The 16,034-nt window shown below is 56.3% G+C and overlaps 2 protein-coding genes across 14 annotated transcripts in view, besides 10 other annotated features; one reads left to right on the forward strand and one right to left on the reverse strand.

The window, feature by feature from the left end:
* The window catches only part of STRA6 (signaling receptor and transporter of retinol STRA6), a 32,794-nt gene that overhangs the window by 14,522 nt on the left and 2,238 nt on the right, over nucleotides 1-16,034 (reverse strand). For 3 of the 13 annotated variants that reach the window (XR_931877.3, NM_001199042.2, XM_011521885.3), the window contains exons 1-7: nucleotides 8,431-8,800; nucleotides 8,168-8,295; nucleotides 3,765-3,831; nucleotides 3,351-3,436; nucleotides 2,021-2,160; nucleotides 1,665-1,688; nucleotides 1,315-1,481 (exon numbers count right to left, since the gene is read on the reverse strand). Coding sequence is in view for 12 of the 13 variants with exons in the window: in NM_001199042.2 (NP_001185971.1) it covers nucleotides 1,315-1,481; nucleotides 1,665-1,688; nucleotides 2,021-2,160; nucleotides 3,351-3,436; nucleotides 3,765-3,831; nucleotides 8,168-8,295; nucleotides 8,431-8,532 (714 nt within the window). In the remaining variant the exon portion in view is untranslated. Of the gene's footprint in view, nucleotides 1-399; nucleotides 1,689-2,020; nucleotides 2,161-3,350; nucleotides 3,437-3,764; nucleotides 3,832-8,167; nucleotides 8,328-8,430; nucleotides 8,801-9,015; nucleotides 9,071-13,709; nucleotides 14,068-14,812; nucleotides 15,003-15,371; nucleotides 15,719-16,034 lie in introns of those variants that run through there. The other 10 variants (NM_001199040.2, NM_001142619.2, NM_001142617.2 and 7 more) reach the window with 10 other exon arrangements.
* Nucleotides 3,000-3,169: an enhancer, noted in NCBI's record as "experimental_40898 CRE fragment used in MPRA reporter constructs". NCBI's record gives its function as "activates a minimal promoter by MPRAs in K562 erythroleukemia cells, with activity observed for both the introgressed and non-introgressed 15:74489413 variant alleles {active_cell/tissue: K562}" and the evidence as "EXISTENCE:reporter gene assay evidence [ECO:0000049][PMID:34662402]".
* Nucleotides 5,899-6,534: an enhancer, noted in NCBI's record as "H3K4me1 hESC enhancer chr15:74492227-74492862 (GRCh37/hg19 assembly coordinates)". NCBI's record gives its function as "activates a minimal SCP1, AML or CMV promoter by ChIP-STARR-seq in naive H9 embryonic stem cells {active_cell/tissue: H9 hESC(naive)}" and the evidence as "EXISTENCE:reporter gene assay evidence [ECO:0000049][PMID:30033119]".
* Nucleotides 6,535-7,168: an enhancer, noted in NCBI's record as "H3K4me1 hESC enhancer chr15:74492863-74493496 (GRCh37/hg19 assembly coordinates)". NCBI's record gives its function as "activates a minimal SCP1, AML or CMV promoter by ChIP-STARR-seq in naive H9 embryonic stem cells {active_cell/tissue: H9 hESC(naive)}" and the evidence as "EXISTENCE:reporter gene assay evidence [ECO:0000049][PMID:30033119]".
* Nucleotides 6,602-6,661: an enhancer, noted in NCBI's record as "active region_9746". NCBI's record gives its function as "activates an Ori minimal core promoter by ATAC-STARR-seq in GM12878 lymphoblastoid cells {active_cell/tissue: GM12878}" and the evidence as "EXISTENCE:reporter gene assay evidence [ECO:0000049][PMID:35858748]".
* Nucleotides 8,961-9,130: an enhancer, noted in NCBI's record as "experimental_40904 CRE fragment used in MPRA reporter constructs". NCBI's record gives its function as "activates a minimal promoter by MPRAs in K562 erythroleukemia cells, with activity observed for both the introgressed and non-introgressed 15:74495374 variant alleles {active_cell/tissue: K562}" and the evidence as "EXISTENCE:reporter gene assay evidence [ECO:0000049][PMID:34662402]".
* Nucleotides 8,961-9,705: a biological region, named in NCBI's record as "H3K27ac-H3K4me1 hESC enhancer GRCh37_chr15:74495400-74496033".
* The window catches only part of CCDC33 (coiled-coil domain containing 33), a 133,474-nt gene continuing 126,451 nt past the window's right edge, over nucleotides 9,012-16,034 (forward strand). The window contains exons 1-2 of the mRNA XM_047433141.1: nucleotides 9,012-9,111; nucleotides 15,401-15,547. The gene's annotated coding sequence lies outside the window, so the exon portion shown is untranslated. The remainder of the gene's footprint in view (nucleotides 9,112-15,400; nucleotides 15,548-16,034) is intronic.
* Nucleotides 9,072-9,705: an enhancer, noted in NCBI's record as "H3K27ac-H3K4me1 hESC enhancer chr15:74495400-74496033 (GRCh37/hg19 assembly coordinates)". NCBI's record gives its function as "activates a minimal SCP1, AML or CMV promoter by ChIP-STARR-seq in primed H9 embryonic stem cells {active_cell/tissue: H9 hESC(primed)}" and the evidence as "EXISTENCE:reporter gene assay evidence [ECO:0000049][PMID:30033119]".
* Nucleotides 11,191-11,852: an enhancer, noted in NCBI's record as "H3K4me1 hESC enhancer chr15:74497519-74498180 (GRCh37/hg19 assembly coordinates)". NCBI's record gives its function as "activates a minimal SCP1, AML or CMV promoter by ChIP-STARR-seq in naive H9 embryonic stem cells {active_cell/tissue: H9 hESC(naive)}" and the evidence as "EXISTENCE:reporter gene assay evidence [ECO:0000049][PMID:30033119]".
* Nucleotides 11,853-12,514: an enhancer, noted in NCBI's record as "H3K4me1 hESC enhancer chr15:74498181-74498842 (GRCh37/hg19 assembly coordinates)". NCBI's record gives its function as "activates a minimal SCP1, AML or CMV promoter by ChIP-STARR-seq in naive H9 embryonic stem cells {active_cell/tissue: H9 hESC(naive)}" and the evidence as "EXISTENCE:reporter gene assay evidence [ECO:0000049][PMID:30033119]".
* Nucleotides 14,501-15,162: an enhancer, noted in NCBI's record as "H3K27ac-H3K4me1 hESC enhancer chr15:74500829-74501490 (GRCh37/hg19 assembly coordinates)". NCBI's record gives its function as "activates a minimal SCP1, AML or CMV promoter by ChIP-STARR-seq in naive H9 embryonic stem cells {active_cell/tissue: H9 hESC(naive)}" and the evidence as "EXISTENCE:reporter gene assay evidence [ECO:0000049][PMID:30033119]".

Consider the following 16,034-nt stretch of genomic DNA (forward strand, 5'->3'; position numbering starts at 1 on the left):
GTTGCCCTTCCCACCTCACACTGGGCCCTGAGGGTGGTCTGGGGGGCCATGGGAAGGCTTCAGCTCTATGGTTCCCAACCTGCCACCCAGCGCAAACCTGCCCACTTCCCCTTCTCGAGCCCTGCAGAGATGCTCACCCCTCCCCCAGGCTCCTGGATCCCCACGGGCCTGAGAGGAGCCAAGAGGAGGAGATCACTTGATTCCCTCCTGCCCCCCACTGGAAAGGACACCTCTTTCTGTTTCTGTGTTCCCGGAGCATTAGGAACAGTTCTGAAAATCACACGAAAGCCTGCCTTTGCCTACATATAGTTTTCAACCTGAGCATCAGGAAAGTCTATGCCCTACTCCTCAGGGCTGAGGCCTTCCTGGGGGTGGGCTTTTTGTATACTCATTCATTTATTTGTTGGTTCAATATACTTTTATTGAGAGCTTAGTATGTGCCAGGTTCTAGGTGGTGAAAAAAAGCCACCAAGTTCCCCCTCTCAAAGCAACCTCTTAGTCTTCACCTCCACCCTGAGGGACTGGTGTTATCAGCTCCATGGACGGATGGAGAAACGGTCTCAGAAAGGTGGCACTGTTTCCCCAAGGCACTTGGTACCACCTGGCATCATTTTGTTTGCGTGTCATGTCTGCCCTTCTGAAGTGACGGCTCTTGGGAGGCTAGGGACTGTTTGTCTTGTTCATAGCTGTAGTCCAGTGCCTGGAAATGTCCCTGGTACAAAGTATGTGCTTCAAATATGTTGTTGAATGAATGGGTGAGTGAATGAATGAAGTGGTGAAGCTGGATTCACACTCAGGTTGTCTGGCTCTAAAGCCTGTACCATCACTCTTTGAGTTCTAGACTGGACAGCTTCACAGCCCCAGCCAGCAGCCAGTGAGCAAGGTCCTGAGGTTCCGGAATTCTCCTCTCAGCCCTCTTAGACCATCCCTGACTTCGCACTTGCCGGCCTCCATCAAGCTTCACTCCCATTCCCTCTCCAGCCTGACCAAAGGGAAGCTGGGGGATCACTAACACAGGCATTGGGGGTGGGGGCCATTTCAGGCTTTCTCTTCCCCCTACTCTGCCCACTTCCCCTTCTCCGCCACCTCCTAGACTTAAAGTTCCTGAGGGCTGGGCCCAGCCACCTTGTTCCCTGCCTCTCCTGCAGAGCAGCCAAGCTTGGAAGGGGCACATGTTTGAAGGCATGGAATCCCATGCACAATGGAAGGCTGCAGGGCGGCCCATCATAGAATCAGAGCTCAAAGGAGGCACTGTGGTTTGAGTAGGTTGCTCTGTGCGCCCCTCTGCCCTAGGCCATTGTGATCAGCGGTTACCTTGGGCACCTGGGGACACTCTGCCCTCTGCCAGACCTGGACCCCAAGGTGGGCCCAGGACAGCGTGCTGCCGAGCAGGTGTGCAGCTGTGTGGCCAGCCGTGGCACAGGCAGCCAGAGGGTAGTAGAGGGCAGCATAATAGAACAGTCCCAGTATCTTCCAGGCCCCTGGAAGGTGAAACAAGCAGAGAGACCCATGCTGGAGGGGCAGACATGGGGCCTGCAGTGAGCCCACCCAGGCCTCTCTTCGGTCTCCAGCTTCCAAGCCCTTCAGCACGTTCAGTGGGCAAGAACACTAGGTTCAAATCCAGGCTCTGACTAGTCTCAACTCTGTGATCTTGGGCAAGTTACCTCTTGGAGCCTCAGTTTTCCCATCTGTAAAATGAAAATAATCACAGTATATTAGCAAGGGCAAAATGAGAAGGTGGATATATAATGCTTAGCATGGTGCCTGAGCAAATACTCAATTTAAGATACTACTTCCCTGGCTCTCAGTTCCTCCATTGCAAAATGGGGCTAATATGCATACTTTGTAGCATCGTTGTAAAGACTGGATGGTCTAAAAAGGTCACGTCTCAGGATAGCAGCCCATCTCATTGACAGCTGTTCCTGTTACTCTCATCTCCTTGAGCCAAGCTTAAAACTCCGAGACCCCACCCTACCCCATCCCATCACACCAACCCCAGGGCCTGGGGGTCAGTGGGTACCTTGGCTGGGTGCTGAGGCGAGAGTCAGGAAGGGCAATGCGTCCTCGTCGGGGAGCAGCAAACACAGGGAGCTCAGGAGGACCATGAAAACAGCAGCAGGCACTGCCCGGGGCCTGTCCCCAGCCAAGAAATCCACAGGGCTAGCACAGAGGCAAGGACAGGGCAGGAGGGAGTTGCTCAGCCCCTGCACCCCCATTACCTCCCAGCTGTATTCCATAAATCAAGGAGGTGGAGTCAGTCCCACTTTCTAGATGGGGGAATAAGGCCCCTTCATTCATTCATTCCATAGATATTTGTGGAGTGCCTCTTATCTACCAAGCTCTGGGCCCCGTGCCAAAGGGACTTGGGACACACATACAGTGGGAAGAAGCCCTAAGACTGCTCCTCCGCCCACCCTGGAAGCTCCAGGAAGCAGCCACCTCCACACTAATTGGTCTGTCTGAGCTGGCAAACCTTCAGAGAACTCAGCGAGTCACAACATCCTTGTACAACAGCCGCCGCCCTGGGCTGGGTGTGGACCCGGGGCAGAGGGCAGACAGCGGGCATAGCTGTCCCAGGCATCACCCTTCTGGGCTCAGGGCAAGCCACTCAGACCCACAGCTTCTGCACTGCAGCTTGCATTCATGCTCTGAGAGGTTCATTCTCCCTCAAACACTGCCCCAGCCAGGGCAAGCTCTTTCTGGGGCCAACCAGAGACCCCAGGCTGGTTCCCCACAAAACCAGCACAGCAAGACCTGCCTCGGTGCACAGTCTGGGTCTGGGATGTGAAGCTGTCTACACCAAGGAGCCACCCATCACCTGCCCCAACCCTTTGGTCTCTCGCACACTAGCTTGCCCAGCCCCATCTCCTCAGGATCATGCCTGTCCAGGCTCTGGAGTCACAGGGCTGAAGGAGATAGGAGAAGAAAGCTCCAGCTATAGGGGCTAGATGTCAGTCCCCATAAATCTGCCTTCAAGCATTAGGGTCCAGGTGATACCCTCAGGGAAGATGACGGTCAAGATGGCATTGGGATGGTCACGTCAATCCACACATGGAGGGCTGCCTGAGAAGGTACACTCTGACGCTGGGTCCTGTCAGGCTTGTTTCCCTAGGGTCTGGGTTGGAGTCCTTTCTCCCAGGCGGGCTTGAGCGAGTCCCTCCCCCTTCCTCTGGGGGTCCTGACTAAACCTGGAGACCTAGGTGGGGGTGAGGAAAGCTCCAGGCTGAGGGCGATAGGGATGTCATTAAAGCCAGAGCTGCCTTTTAGGTACCTAACAAATCACCCACCCTCCCAGAGGGACCCTGTCAGCTGGGTCCCCTGAGTGGGGGTGCCCAGGCCATGGTACAAACCTGGGCAGGCCGGGCCTGCCACGCACACAGTCAGGCCAGAGCTGGCGGCGCCTCACCAGCATGGCCAGGAGCAGCAGCACAAGGATCTGAAAGGAGAGTGCAGAGGAGGGCTTGGGGTGCCCAGGCCTCCCCTGAGGGTCTGAGTTTGAGGGCTTGGACTCAGGCCCCAGGATATCCCCTACCTGCCCAGTGCACACTCATGTGACATCTTGGGGACTGGTCAAGGGGTGACAGACATCTGGAAGGTTGGACTTGCATCCTGGTTTGGGCCTCCAAGCTGGGAGAACTCCCAGATAGCTCCCCCCACCCAGGATCTTCCAGGGCCCCCCTTCACCAGCCCCAGTGGGGAACACAGGTCCCACTGCCCAGGCTGGCAGCAGCTTGCAAGCCAGGTTCAACTTGGGTTGGACTCACTGACAGCGAGGCCAGGCAGGCGTGGTACAGGCCGGGTGGTATGCTGGTGTGGCAGGAGGGCACTTCCCTGCAGAGCAAATGAAGGCTGGCTCAGGCCTGCGTCAGGCCCCCCTGGGTGTGCAGATGGGTCTGGGGTTCAAGACTGTTCACACTGAGGCTTTACCCACTACCTCCCTCAACCCTCTGATCCCTCCTACACAAGCCTTCCCAGTCCCACCTTCTCAGGGTCATTCTGGGGCCCTCGTGTCCCTGTGATGTGCCAGCCCCATGCCAAGCTCTGGGGTTATAAGACTAAAGGACATGGGAAGCTCCCAGGGGAAGCAGAGTAGACCGGCTCGGCCTGATCACTTATTCTCTTTTTTTTTTTTCTGGAGGGACAGGGTCTTGCTCTGTCACCCAGGCTGGAGTGCAGTGGCTCGATCTCGGCTTACTGCAGCCTCAGCCTCCTGGGCTCAAAAGATCCTCCCACCTCAGCCTCATGAGTAGCTGGGACCACAGGTGTGCACCACCATGCCTGGCATTTTTTTTTCTGTATTTTTAGTAGAGACAGGGCCTCACCATGTCGCCCAGGCTGGTCTTGGATTTCTGAGCTCAAGCAATCCTCATGCCTCAGCCTCCCAAAGTGCTGGGATTACAGGTGTGAGCCACTGTGCCCGGCTGAGCACTTATTCTTGCTCACCCAGATGCTTCCTGTCCTTCAAGGCCTCCCCTCTCCAGGGAGCCCCTCTGACTGCTCCTGGTCTCACAGACGTCTTCTCAGAACTGCAGTTGAGCACACTACCTGGGTCAAGCAGTCAAGGGTTTGGCCCTGTGATTCGCCCTCTACTCACTGCCATCTGAGGTTGGTCTGTGACTAAAATGATCTCCCCTGGTCCCTCTCTTTTCCTGCTTCCCTCTCATTGAGAGCCTCCATGGACAGCCATGCAGGTTGCCCACTGCACAAAGATGCTCAGCCAAGGGAACGAGCAGGCCACCCTGCTCACCAAACCCAGCACCTGCTGAGCTGAATGCACCTAACTGGGGATCCCTTTCTCTAATTCCACAGAGGCTCCCTATGGCCTGGCAATGGTCCTGCACTCACCCTGGCTGAGCGCAGAGGTAAACCCACAGTGGAGATAGGGGTCACTGAGGACAATGAAACCCTCCGCTTCCCCAGCAGAATCATGTGGTGGAGAAAGGGAGTGAGGCAGGAGTCCTGAGCTCAGGGCTGGCCCTGGCCCTGGGAGAGTAGGCAGGACTGGGTCCCTGGTGAGCAGTAGAGCTCCGGGTTTTCCCAGCTTGGGCCTGGGAGAGCCAGAGGGAGGGTGGCAGCATGGGTGAGGCCAGTGGGGTCTGGTGGGCGAGGGCCTGAGATGGAGCCTGGGCTGCCGCCAGTCCCTGCCTGCACAGAGGGCTTAGCCGCCCACCAAAACGCCCTCCACTGTATGAAGAGAGGCATCAAGGCTGCATTATCCAGGGGAGTGCAGAGCCCTGGGATGCTCTGCTGGGTCAGCTCGGTCTGTCCTGCTCGCTTTCTCTCAGGAAATCCCAGCGGGTGAGCGGTGGGAAAGAAACCAGTCACTTGGTGGAGAGGCAGAGTAAGTCAGCTCTGGGCAGCTTCTTGGCCAGGAGACCAGCCTCTTCCCAAAGTAGAACTGGGATCGTGAGTAGCAGCCACACTGACTCCAGTGTCAGCTCCCCACCTCCAGCTCCAAGGCCTCTCACTCTGGTGCGTAGGGCAGCCCTCCCTCTCAGCCGGCATCTCCCCGCATGACTAGGTCCCGCTCCACCTTTACACCTGGGCCCGGCAGGGACTTGGAAAACTGTCCCTGGAGTAGTTTGACCATTTTCCTATGGACCTTACCCCAAACCACCCCTACCCCCAGAAATGCCCTCCAGGGCCCTGCCTGGGGGAGCCTCTGGCCCTTTCTGTATCACCTGAGGTCCCCATCTGACCTCTCAGCTCAGTGTGAGGGGTCAGATGGGGATCTCAGGTGGCATAGAAATGAGCAAATATTTGGCTAGTGGCTTGTGGCCCCACTTTTTGTGCCATGGGACAGGCAGGATGGCACAGACATAAAGACCTTGGAGAGGGTGGTGAGCTTGATCCTGGGACAGGCACAGCAGGTGCTGAAGGATGCAGAGGAGGGAGAACTTTGGGCAAAAGGAGGTGGTATCTGATTGGAGTTTAAAAAATGGTTAGTGGCTGGGAGCAGTGGCTCACGCCTATAATCCCAGCACTTTGGGAGACTGAGGCAGGCAGATCAACCAAGGTCAAGAGTTTGAGACCAGCCTGGCCAACATGATGAAACCCTGTCTCCACTAAAAATACAAAAAAAATTAGCTGGGCGTGGTGGCACGCACCTGTAATCCCAGCTACTCGGGAGGCTGAGGCAGGAGAATCACTTGAACTGGGGAAGCGGAGGTTGCAGTGAGCCAAGATCGCACCACTGCACTCCAACCCGGGCAACAAGAGCGAGACTCCATCTCAAAAAATAAATAAATAAAAGTTGGTTAGCATCTCTTTAGGCAAAGAAGGGGAGAGGCAGCTCCAGGTGGAGGGAAGTGCATGAGGAAGCAGAGAGGCAGGCGACAGGCAGCGTGGCTGGGGCTGGGCAGGCCTTCCAGTTTGATTGCAGCCCAGAGGTCAGGTGAGATGAGGTTACAGCAAGCATGGGAGGCCCCAGGAAGCCACTGAGGGTGTTTGAGCCATTGAATGTTCTGGATTTTAGGACATTTCTGTGGCTGACTCCACTGCCATCAGTGTTCATCCACCCCAACTCCAGCCTGAGAGTGCTGGGGCACTGGGCACTCCGGAGTTCTTCAAAGCTCTGATGCAACATGTCCCCAGGGTGTCTGACTCACACAGACAGAGGTGAACCCAAGTTCATTTCCTTGGGATTCCCCTGAGCTCCCAATTTTCTGCTCCCACTTTGAGGGCAGGGGGATGGCAGGCAGCTCAATTGGTTTGGCTAAGTAAGTAGATTCAAACAAATCTCTTTATTCTTATGGATGTCATGCCCTGCAGTGGGAGAAAGAAGCTGAATCTTCTAGATGTCACCCACATGAGGGACTGGACTCCCCATCACCCAGTGCCTGACATACACACAACTTTATTCTGAGACAACAGCTATAGACCACAGCTACATTTACAGGCACCTGGCCCCCAGCCAGTGCCCAGGCCCTGAGGCTCCCAAGGACACAGCTTCAGATTAGAGCCTTCACCTAGGTCAGAAACCATCCTCATGGGTTCCTGGGCCTGTCCTCATTCTGGTCTCTCGCAGGCCACACATACACAGCAGGATATGTGGAGCCCACAGGCTCTCGGTCAGTCAGGCAAGATGAGTGGGGAGCACGCCCTTGCTGACTGCAGGCTATTTTCCAGGTGGTCAGAACCCTGAGTCCTCCAAACAACAGCTCCTTCCCCGAGGCCTGGGTGGAGCCTCTGTCCCTGCTGGATGACCCAAGCCCAGCCAGGCCGCAGCCCCAGCCCCTGGGGAGGCACGCAAGGATTTTTCCTTCTCAAGTTTCAGGTTTTGATGGAGAACAGATGTGCACACATCTGGCTCGGCAACCCCCAGCCTCACCTTTCTACTTCTCCAAACCGTCAGACAGAGCAGGGAGATAAGGGATGGGGCCAGGCCTGGGAACAACAGGGGAGAACTGGCTCTGGGTCCTACACAGGCAAGACATCCTGGCAGGAGGTGGGGGACACAGAAGGGGCCCAGCTCCTCCACCAGGGTGCCCAGACTAAACCCCGGTAGAATGGACCCAGGCAAAGCAGCTGTGGCTGGGTTCTCAGGCCACCCTGGGGCGGGCTGCCTTCCTGCTCCCACCCTCACCTGGGCTGGCCTGAGCACTTCTGCTAAAGGGAATAGGCTCTCCTCATCCTCTGAGACCATCCAAAGACAACAAGGGTGCTTGTTTCCTCAGTGACTTCTCACCAGGCTTTCTCCCTTTGGTTCTCTGCCTTCCCCGAATCCCCCAGCCTGCCCAGAGAACTTGACACTTGGAAACACCACACCCAAATGCTCACCACAGAGACCAATAACCCCTTGAAGGGAGGTCTGCTTGCCTCAACTGCTCTCAGCAGCTTCTCCATCCTGGCTATGGGCCAGAATCACCCAGGGAGCCATCCCTGCAGATCTGAATCATCTGTATTTTTAACACGTCACACATCATACCTAAGGTGACCAGCCTTAGGTGTCTTAACAGCAGGGTGAGGGATGTTGTTCTCATGTAACAGAGGCAGAGACTGAATGAACCCCAGAGAGGCTGTGACTTGCCCAAGGTCACACAGCAAATGAGTGGCAGAGCCAGACCTAGCAGCCCCTGCCCAGGAGCTGCTCCCTGGCCAGTTGCAACCTCTGCCATCACCCCATTCTGATGGCTGACAGAGTGAGGTGGGGTGGTTCCACACTTACCCCTCTGGCTGGAGCTCCTCGCCCCCCTGGGGCTCATCGATGTACCAGCTGCCATAGGAGTAGTCCTCTGTGGCCCCGGGGGAGGTCTGGTTCCCTGCTGGCTGGGACGACATTCTCTGGCCCTTCTCCTTTGACCCCAGGCGAGAGAAAAAAAAAGCCACTACAGATGTGAAAAGAGGCTTAAAAGAGAAAAAAAAAGAAAGAAAGACGGAAAACCCAAACAAAGAAACATTTCTCTTTAATCCTGAAGGTTACTTTCTTACTTTTAGCTCTCTGGGAAAAGCCCGTCTGGGACTGAGGGCCTGAGCAAGCTGGCACGGGAAGAGGACAGGGCCTCTCGTGTCCCCTCCTCCCTTCCCGCCCATCGCACTGGTCCTGCAGAGATAGCTGTCCCCTTGGGGCCCCGGGGCTCCCGCTGGCGCATCTGTCTGACCAACCACCAGCAGGCGTGTGTTCAAAGGACCATTTTCAAAGAAGGCTTGTCCAGTCTGAGCTGCCTAAAGAGACGCCCCTTCCTTCCCCTTTCCCAAGCCCACCTAGACAGACCCACAGACACACCAGAAGGGAGGCCCAGGGAGGAAGGAGTTGCAGAGATGAAAGGGTAGGCAGCCCACGGCCAGCTCCGCACTGCCTGCCTGGGCCCTCCCAGCTGGGCTCCCTTGAGCCCCTCCCCCAGCCTCAGCCTGCCCCTTTCTGGCCCCTTTGGGCCTCGGTGATGGAAATACACCATAATCCTTGACAAAGCCCCCCTCCTGGGGGAGGAGGCCCCAGCACCATTGGCGGCCTGAGCCCTGCAAGGGTGTGGCCAGGAGCCACCCCCACCCCCGCACCTGACTTCACACACATACCTGCCTTCAGCGCCTGCCCCAGAGCTCCCAAGCCCCTGCCCGCCACATCTGCAGTGCCGCACACAGACAGGAGACCAGCATTACAGCAACAACCGAGTGAGACGGACCGCTGGGGCTGGGCTGGGGCGGAGGCAGGGAAGGGGAATCTGTCCGTTTCTTCTCCTAGGGTTTCCATGAAGGAGGCAACATGTGTCTCATTGGTAAACCCTTTTTGTTCCTACAAGTTGATTTCACAAGGAGATAACTCACCCCCACAAGGCGGAAATTAGCTCTTTAAACACAAACCAGACCCACGGGTAGGCAAGAGGAGCCCCGCCTGCCTCCTGCTCCTCCTGGAGTGAGGTTGAGGGTGAGCAAGGGAAGGTCTGGGCCAGGGAGGAGGGCTCCTCCGCATTCTCCCTCCCCAGGAGCAGGACCCTGCCCCAGCCTGGAGGAAGGGGCGAGAGGCAGAAGAAGGTAGAAAGCAGTTCTCAGGCCACTGTCCCTGGTGGAGGTTTAGGCCCCTAAAACTGTGAGGGTCTCTGTCCTTCCAATACCCTACAAGGGGCTTCGGCTTGGACCCTGTCAGCTAAGGCAGTCATTCAACAGCTTTTTTAAGAAGACATTATTCATTTAGTCTTTTAACTTAAATTTATTGAACACACACTATGTGCCAGCACTGTTCTGAGCCCTGAGGCAGGAGAGATGACAGTTCAGCGGGGACACAGCCAGATAACTAAATCCCCTCCAAAGTCTGAGGGTTACAAAGGGAATCACAGGTTGAGCTGGTCTGTACCATGGGAAACCAAATTTAGTCCAAGAGCATTTGGGGATGGGGGGAGATTCCTGAAGAAAAGAACCTTTCCGTGGTGATCTGAAGGGCAGGGGAAAGTCCGCTGAGCAGAGGGTGGCAGGCTCAGGATGGGGATGGGGGTGGGGGAAAGTGTGTTCCCCACAGAGGAAACAGCACGGGTGAAGTCTCAGAGTAGACAGGGCTTGAAATCCTGGAGGCTCTCTTTCAAATTCCCAAGCCTGCAGGGCAGGATTAGGGGCTGAGCACCCTGCTAGCCTGAGTTCCTCCCCCTTCTTCCCAAATGGCCCTTCTTGCAGGAAGAGGGCTCTGTTGCTCTCCACCATCCCACAGAGATATCAGCATCTGCTGACTCAGAGCTGAACCCGAGCTTTATTTGATGTAATGAGGAGCCCACACTGGCCCTTCTGATCCCAGGGATGCGGGAAACTTGCCTTCCAGGCGCGAGTGTGAGCTCCCGGAGGGCGGGACTCTATCCCTCCCACCCCTCCTCCTGCCTTCCCCTGATGCTCAGCGCCTGGCCCTTGGGTAAGAGGGACTTCAGAAATTGAGCTTGGCAAAGCCATTGCTTGTTCTGGCGGCCAGTATTCATTTGTGGGCCTGTCCTATACAGGCGGCTGCTGTGCCCTGAGGTTCACCAGCTGGGCTTCCCAGAGTCCCCGTGCCCACACCAGAGGCCAGCAAGCCCTTCCCTGCTCAGGGGTCTCAGACTGTTACCTTAGGGAGCAGCCAACTCCCATCTGATTTTAAATCCACCTCCAACCATTGGAGTCCAGTTCCAGACAGGGAGCCCACTCCCTCTACAAGGCAGCAGTGTCAGGGGTTAGACATCCTTGCCTATCAGAAACCATGCCCTTTGGCCAGGTGTGGTGGCTTACACTTGTAATCCTAGCACTTTGGGAGGCCGAGGCAGGTGGATCACCTGAGGTCAGGAGTTAGAGACCCAGCCTGGCCAACAAGGCAAAATCCCATCTCTACTAAAAATACAAAAAATTAGCCGGACGTGGTGGCGCACACCTGTAATCCCAGCTACTAGGGAGGCTGAGGCAGGAGAATCGCTTGAACCCAGGGGGCAGAGGTTGCAGTGAGCCAAGATCGTGCCACTGCACTCCAGCCTGGACAAAAGAGGCAAACTCCATCTCAAAAAAAAAGAAAGAAAGAAAGAAAAGAAACCATCCTCTTCCTTGGAGGAAGCCTAACTCTGCCTTCCCCAGGCTGGTTTGGCAGCGAGCAAGATGAGTCAAGGCCTGCACCAAATGGAACCTGATGTATGGTAGGGCTTAGGGGAGACAACACCAGAGGGGAAGTGAAGTGGGGGAAGAGAAGAGAGACGGGAGTTGGCTGTTTGAGACAAGGTGGTCAGGGAAGGCCTCACTGAGAAGGTGGTGTGTTGCTGATACCAGAGGGGAGAGAGGGAGGTACCAGTTGGGCACTGTGTTCATCTGTTTCGCATTGCTGTGAAGGAAAACCTGACTCTGGGTAACTTAGAAGGAAAGGGGGTTTATGTGGCTCACAGTTCTGCAGGCTGTGCAGGAAGCAGCACGGCACCAGCATCAGCTTCTGGGGAGGGCCTCAGGAAACCCACAATCGTGATGGAAGGTGAAGGGGGGTCAGGCAGGACACTTGGCAAGAGAGGGAGCAGGAGAGATGCCAGGCACTTACAAATAGCCAGCTCTCACATGAACTGATAGAGCGAGAACTCACTCATTACCACAGGGAGGGCACCAAGCCATTCAGGAGGGATACCCCGCAATGACCCAAACACCACACACCAGGCCTCACTTCCAACACTGGGGTCACATTTCAACATGAGATTTGGAGGGCACACACATCCAAACCATATCGGGCACTGAAGAAAGGCAATCAGGTTGCCTGAAGGAGCCTCCATCTGCCCAGGGGCTGCAGCCAGGCTGGCAGAAAGGGACCCCAGCTGAGCCCAGGCACAGTCCCTTCCCCACCCCCCACGGAGAGCCCAGTGCCAACAATACCACCTCCCTCCTCATGGGAAGACACAGAGGCCACCAAGGGAGGCCCTAAGCAGAGGGGAGGAAATGGTGAGCTTCGTCCTTTTCCCCTGGTGGGGGCCTAGCAAGCAGAGCGCAGCCTTGTGCCTGGTACTTTGGCCAGGGCATAGCTGGAAGGTCCAGAGGTAAGGGCCAGGTTTCTGCATGGCAGTGGAGAACGCCTGGTTGGGGAGGCCACCTAGCCGGATTTGAACCCTGGGACTGGCTATGTGGCCTTGAGTGAGTCTTTTCCTCTCTGTGGGTCTCACTGTCCTCTCTCAAATCCGGCCTGGAGATTCTCCAGTTGTGAACTCTCCCCACAAGGCCCCCGTCCCTGCACACCAGTAACCAGTTGTAACAAGAAGGTCACAGAGAGTGGTTGTGACTTCCTAGGTGCCCCCATTGCCTCCCACCTGCCCCCTCCTGGCCCCCAGCTGCCCTGCCCAGTCTGGTGCGGGCAGGGTGGGCAGGCTGGGTTGAAGATCCATGGATAGCGGGTGGCCGCGTGGCTCAAGCTGCAAGGTGAGCCCACTTCTTGAGCCCAAGGTACCTCCTCAGCTTGGGGCTAGAATCGCTTGGAGCTCCCATCTGCAAAATGGGAGGCTCGGCTCTGAGCTGTTAAGAAAGATGCTACCTGGGAAGACGGCAGGAGGCAAGAAGTGTTAGGAAGAGAAGGATGGTAATGATGTGCCCCTGAAGAATTTCTCCAAAGGCCTGGGCAGCAGAGTCAAGGGCCTGCCCTCTGGAGCTGGCTTTAAAGGGGCACTGATACCCAGGAAGGCCCAGCCCTGCCCTCAGGAGAGCAAAAGTGCTCAAAAGACAGAACTGCCAAAGCCTGAGGAGCGGGGAGGGAAAGGAGGAGATGGCTTGGGCAGTCTTGCAGGCTCCCTGGAGGAGGGGGCCTGGAGCAGGGCCCTGAAGCCATGGAAGATCTGGAATGGTAACAAGAATGAATTGACACGTGTCTCAGGAGTGCCAAGAAGGGAAGTCTGAGAGACAAGGAGAGAGTAGCATAAGGGTCAGGGCAGGGCTCCCTCGCTGTGACCAGCATGAACCCACGTGGGCACTCAGATGAGGCTGATGCCAGTATCCAAGGAGCAGCTCAAACCAGCAGGTCTCCCAACTGGGCACAGATTGGCGGGTGGCTAAGCCCTGCTCACTATGGGAGGAGGTCCTAAAAAGCTTCTGGACTCTGAGCCAGTGAAGGCCATCTGCCATTTGGGCTTGGCACAGAGCTGCTATGCCCCTCGGGTTGGAGCTGGCCCATGAAGGCCTTGGGACAGGGCTTCCTTCCTCTCATGTTTTTGTTCAAGTTGATTAAACCTGAGGAATTTTTGCATCCAGGAGCAGAGGCCCACGTGCATTTCTGCGGGAGCCTGTGATTATCAAATCCTCAAAGGGCAAAGTGCCAAGCTTAGAAGAAGCTAACAGCAGGCCAGAAGGAATGGGGAAGGCCAGCAGCATCCCCAGAACCTCAGAAACATCCCCTCAAGGACTCCCAGATCTCCCAGAGAACCTCCAGAATCTCAGCAACATTTCTGAGTTTCAGTAATGCCATAAGAAGCCCTGCAACCTCAGTATTGCCCCCAAGAAGCCCCAGACCTTCAGTAACACATCAGAACCACTGCAACACCTCAGGACACTCAAACTCTGGCAAACTCAAACTCTGGCAAATCAACCACAGATTGGAACAAGATGTTCAAAAGCCTGTGACCATTTGCAGAAAGGCCAGAGACCCCCGTTGCTCTCCACCCTCCCATCTCAGCCCTTGACTCTGAGTCCAGCAGCAAACCCAATAGTTTACAATACTCAAACCTCAGGTACACCCCCAACTTCGATAGCACGGAAGAGAACACGCAAGAGAGGCGTTCCAGGAGTGGGGGGATGGCCACTGTGCCCACCTGTGCAGCCCAGTCCCCTTGAGAGTCCATGAATAAGCAGCCGAGAGAGTCAACCTCATGCGGGCCCGTGAGCTTGGGGTGTGCCCTCAGTGGCACAGCACACTCACACACACATCCAACTGCCCTTCGCACACATACGTGCTTAATTCTGGCACCAGACCAAGTCTGACTCCACACAGTGGGCTGGAAGGCAGTGTCGTCGGCTGCCGTGCTCACGGCAGGAAGAGTATGGGTGACTCTCCACCTCCTGTCTCTCTACCTCCTACCTCCCCTGCCATGTGGGAGGGTCAGAAGCACCATCTGATGTGCCCTTCCTGCAATTCTCATGCCCCCCTCACCAACAGCATCATCATAACATAAAGGATTTAGACCAGGCTGTTCTGGTATGAGGGTGGACACTGGTGAGGAGGAGGAGGGTAGCCGGCTGTGCCAGGGGAGCAGCATGTTCTTTCCCTCCCAGAGGGCTAGGCTAGTACTGACCTGGAGGAGGGAGGCAGATTTCAGCTCAGAACAAAGGTAGCCTTCTAGAGTAGTGAGGCCCCCATCAAGGGAGGCAATCAAGAAGAGGCTGTTAACATCAAGATGCAACAGAGGGCTTCCTGCCTTCGGAGGACTAGACACAAGGCCATGAAGATTCCCCAGCTATAAGAGCCCCACGTTCTCCGTTCCCAGCACGTTCCTCCCTGGGCTGGCCACCGTGGTGTGGCCTTGAGATGTAGGCTTTGTGCTGCCCTCCTTCCTCACTGAGGACATTGACTGCTGGGCAGATCCCCTGACTTCTCTCTCCTTGTTCCCTTGCTGACCACAGGACAGGGCTCTCCACCAACCTTTTGCCCACAGCCAGTCAGATCCAACTCAGACAGGACTCTGCGAATGTCTCCTGCCTTTTGGAGCTCCTGCTAGCCCCCCAGTGTCCCCTGAGGGCAGCCCACCCCAGGTCTCCAAACTTACTCATCAGAATTGCTCCAGCCCATCACTCTGCTCACTTCCTGCCCCTAGGCTCTGACTCCTGCTCACTTCCCACCGCACACCCCATGTGCCTTCTCGCTGTTCCCCGACCTGTTCCAATCCCACCTGGCCTCCCAGACTTGGCTCCAGCCTACCTCCAATCAAGCGCTCTCCTGACCTCTCCCTTCCTTGTCTCTTTCCTTTCCTTTATTGATCTCTCCCGGAAACTTGTCCCTCCAGGCAAGCAGGGTGCTCCCAACACGGGGCCTTCTCCTCTGAGCCCAGCACCAGCTGGGCTGGGATCCTAGAGGGGTGGCTGGTTGTGTGGTCTCGGCAGTTGGCCCTGAGAAGTGTCCCCAGCACCTGCTTTAAAAGGTGTTTGATCTGCTCCTCCCGGAAGGCAGCTCCCCCCTTCTCCAGTCTGGCTCTGCCCCTCCTCCTGCCCTCACAGACCTCCCGCCCTTGATTCCGGGATCAGAGGAACCCACCCCACCCCCATCTCCAGCTCAGGCACAGAGCAGGGGCTGGGGCCCCACACAACACACAGGGCGGCTTGTCTCCAGCGGTATAGCCTCTCCACACCCCCAAACCGTTTGCTCGAAACTTGATCTCCTTGGCCCTCAGAGTCACCTCAGTGGAGAAGCCTGCACAGGGCTTTGATGGCTGAGTTTCCCCAGATGTGGCCTTAGAGAAGCTGAGGAACCCCCTACTTACCTCCATTTGTCCCCATCCATCACTCCCAGGGGGCCACTGCCTGATGAATTGCCAGAGGGGAACCACCAGCTCGGCTCTTAATAACCGGATCTGCATCCTGCTGCTGCCCAGCTGGGCTGAGGGCCCTGACCACAGCTAAGGGGAGTCATCACAGGGCTTCAGGGCTGGAATTCCAGGTATGATCTATTCCCAGGGGAAGTGAAAAAGGCCCCCTCGGAGCTTTCTCTTCTATTTCTCACTTCTCACAGACAGGCTGGGGTTCTGGAGTCCTGCTCTTCACCCCAAGTACATGCCTGCAACCTCCAACGCTGCTGGACAGTCGGCTGCATCCCCCCTCACCTGAGCACAGGCTCTCCCTACCCCTCCCTCCCCTTCCTAGAGGGGGTATCCTGCAGGGATGCAGACAAGACTGGGGAAGGAAATGGTGCTCAGAGGGTGCTCCACCTAGGTGCTGTGGCAAGCAGGGCAGGGAGAGAGTAGATAAAGGCCGGGCCAAGAAGCGGGGCCCTAAATTCTCAGGAGAAGGGCCCTGGAGAGGCAGTCTCTTCCTTGAAGGAGAAAGGGAGTGCCATCTATAAAAAGGTGGGACCACAGGCTTTTGTATGTGAGATTGGCTTCCAATGATAGTAAAAGACCCTGGAAGAGAGAAGGACAATGCCAGAG

This window comes from Homo sapiens, chromosome 15 (genome assembly GCF_000001405.40).
Source record: "Homo sapiens chromosome 15, GRCh38.p14 Primary Assembly".
NCBI lineage: Eukaryota > Metazoa > Chordata > Mammalia > Primates > Hominidae > Homo > Homo sapiens.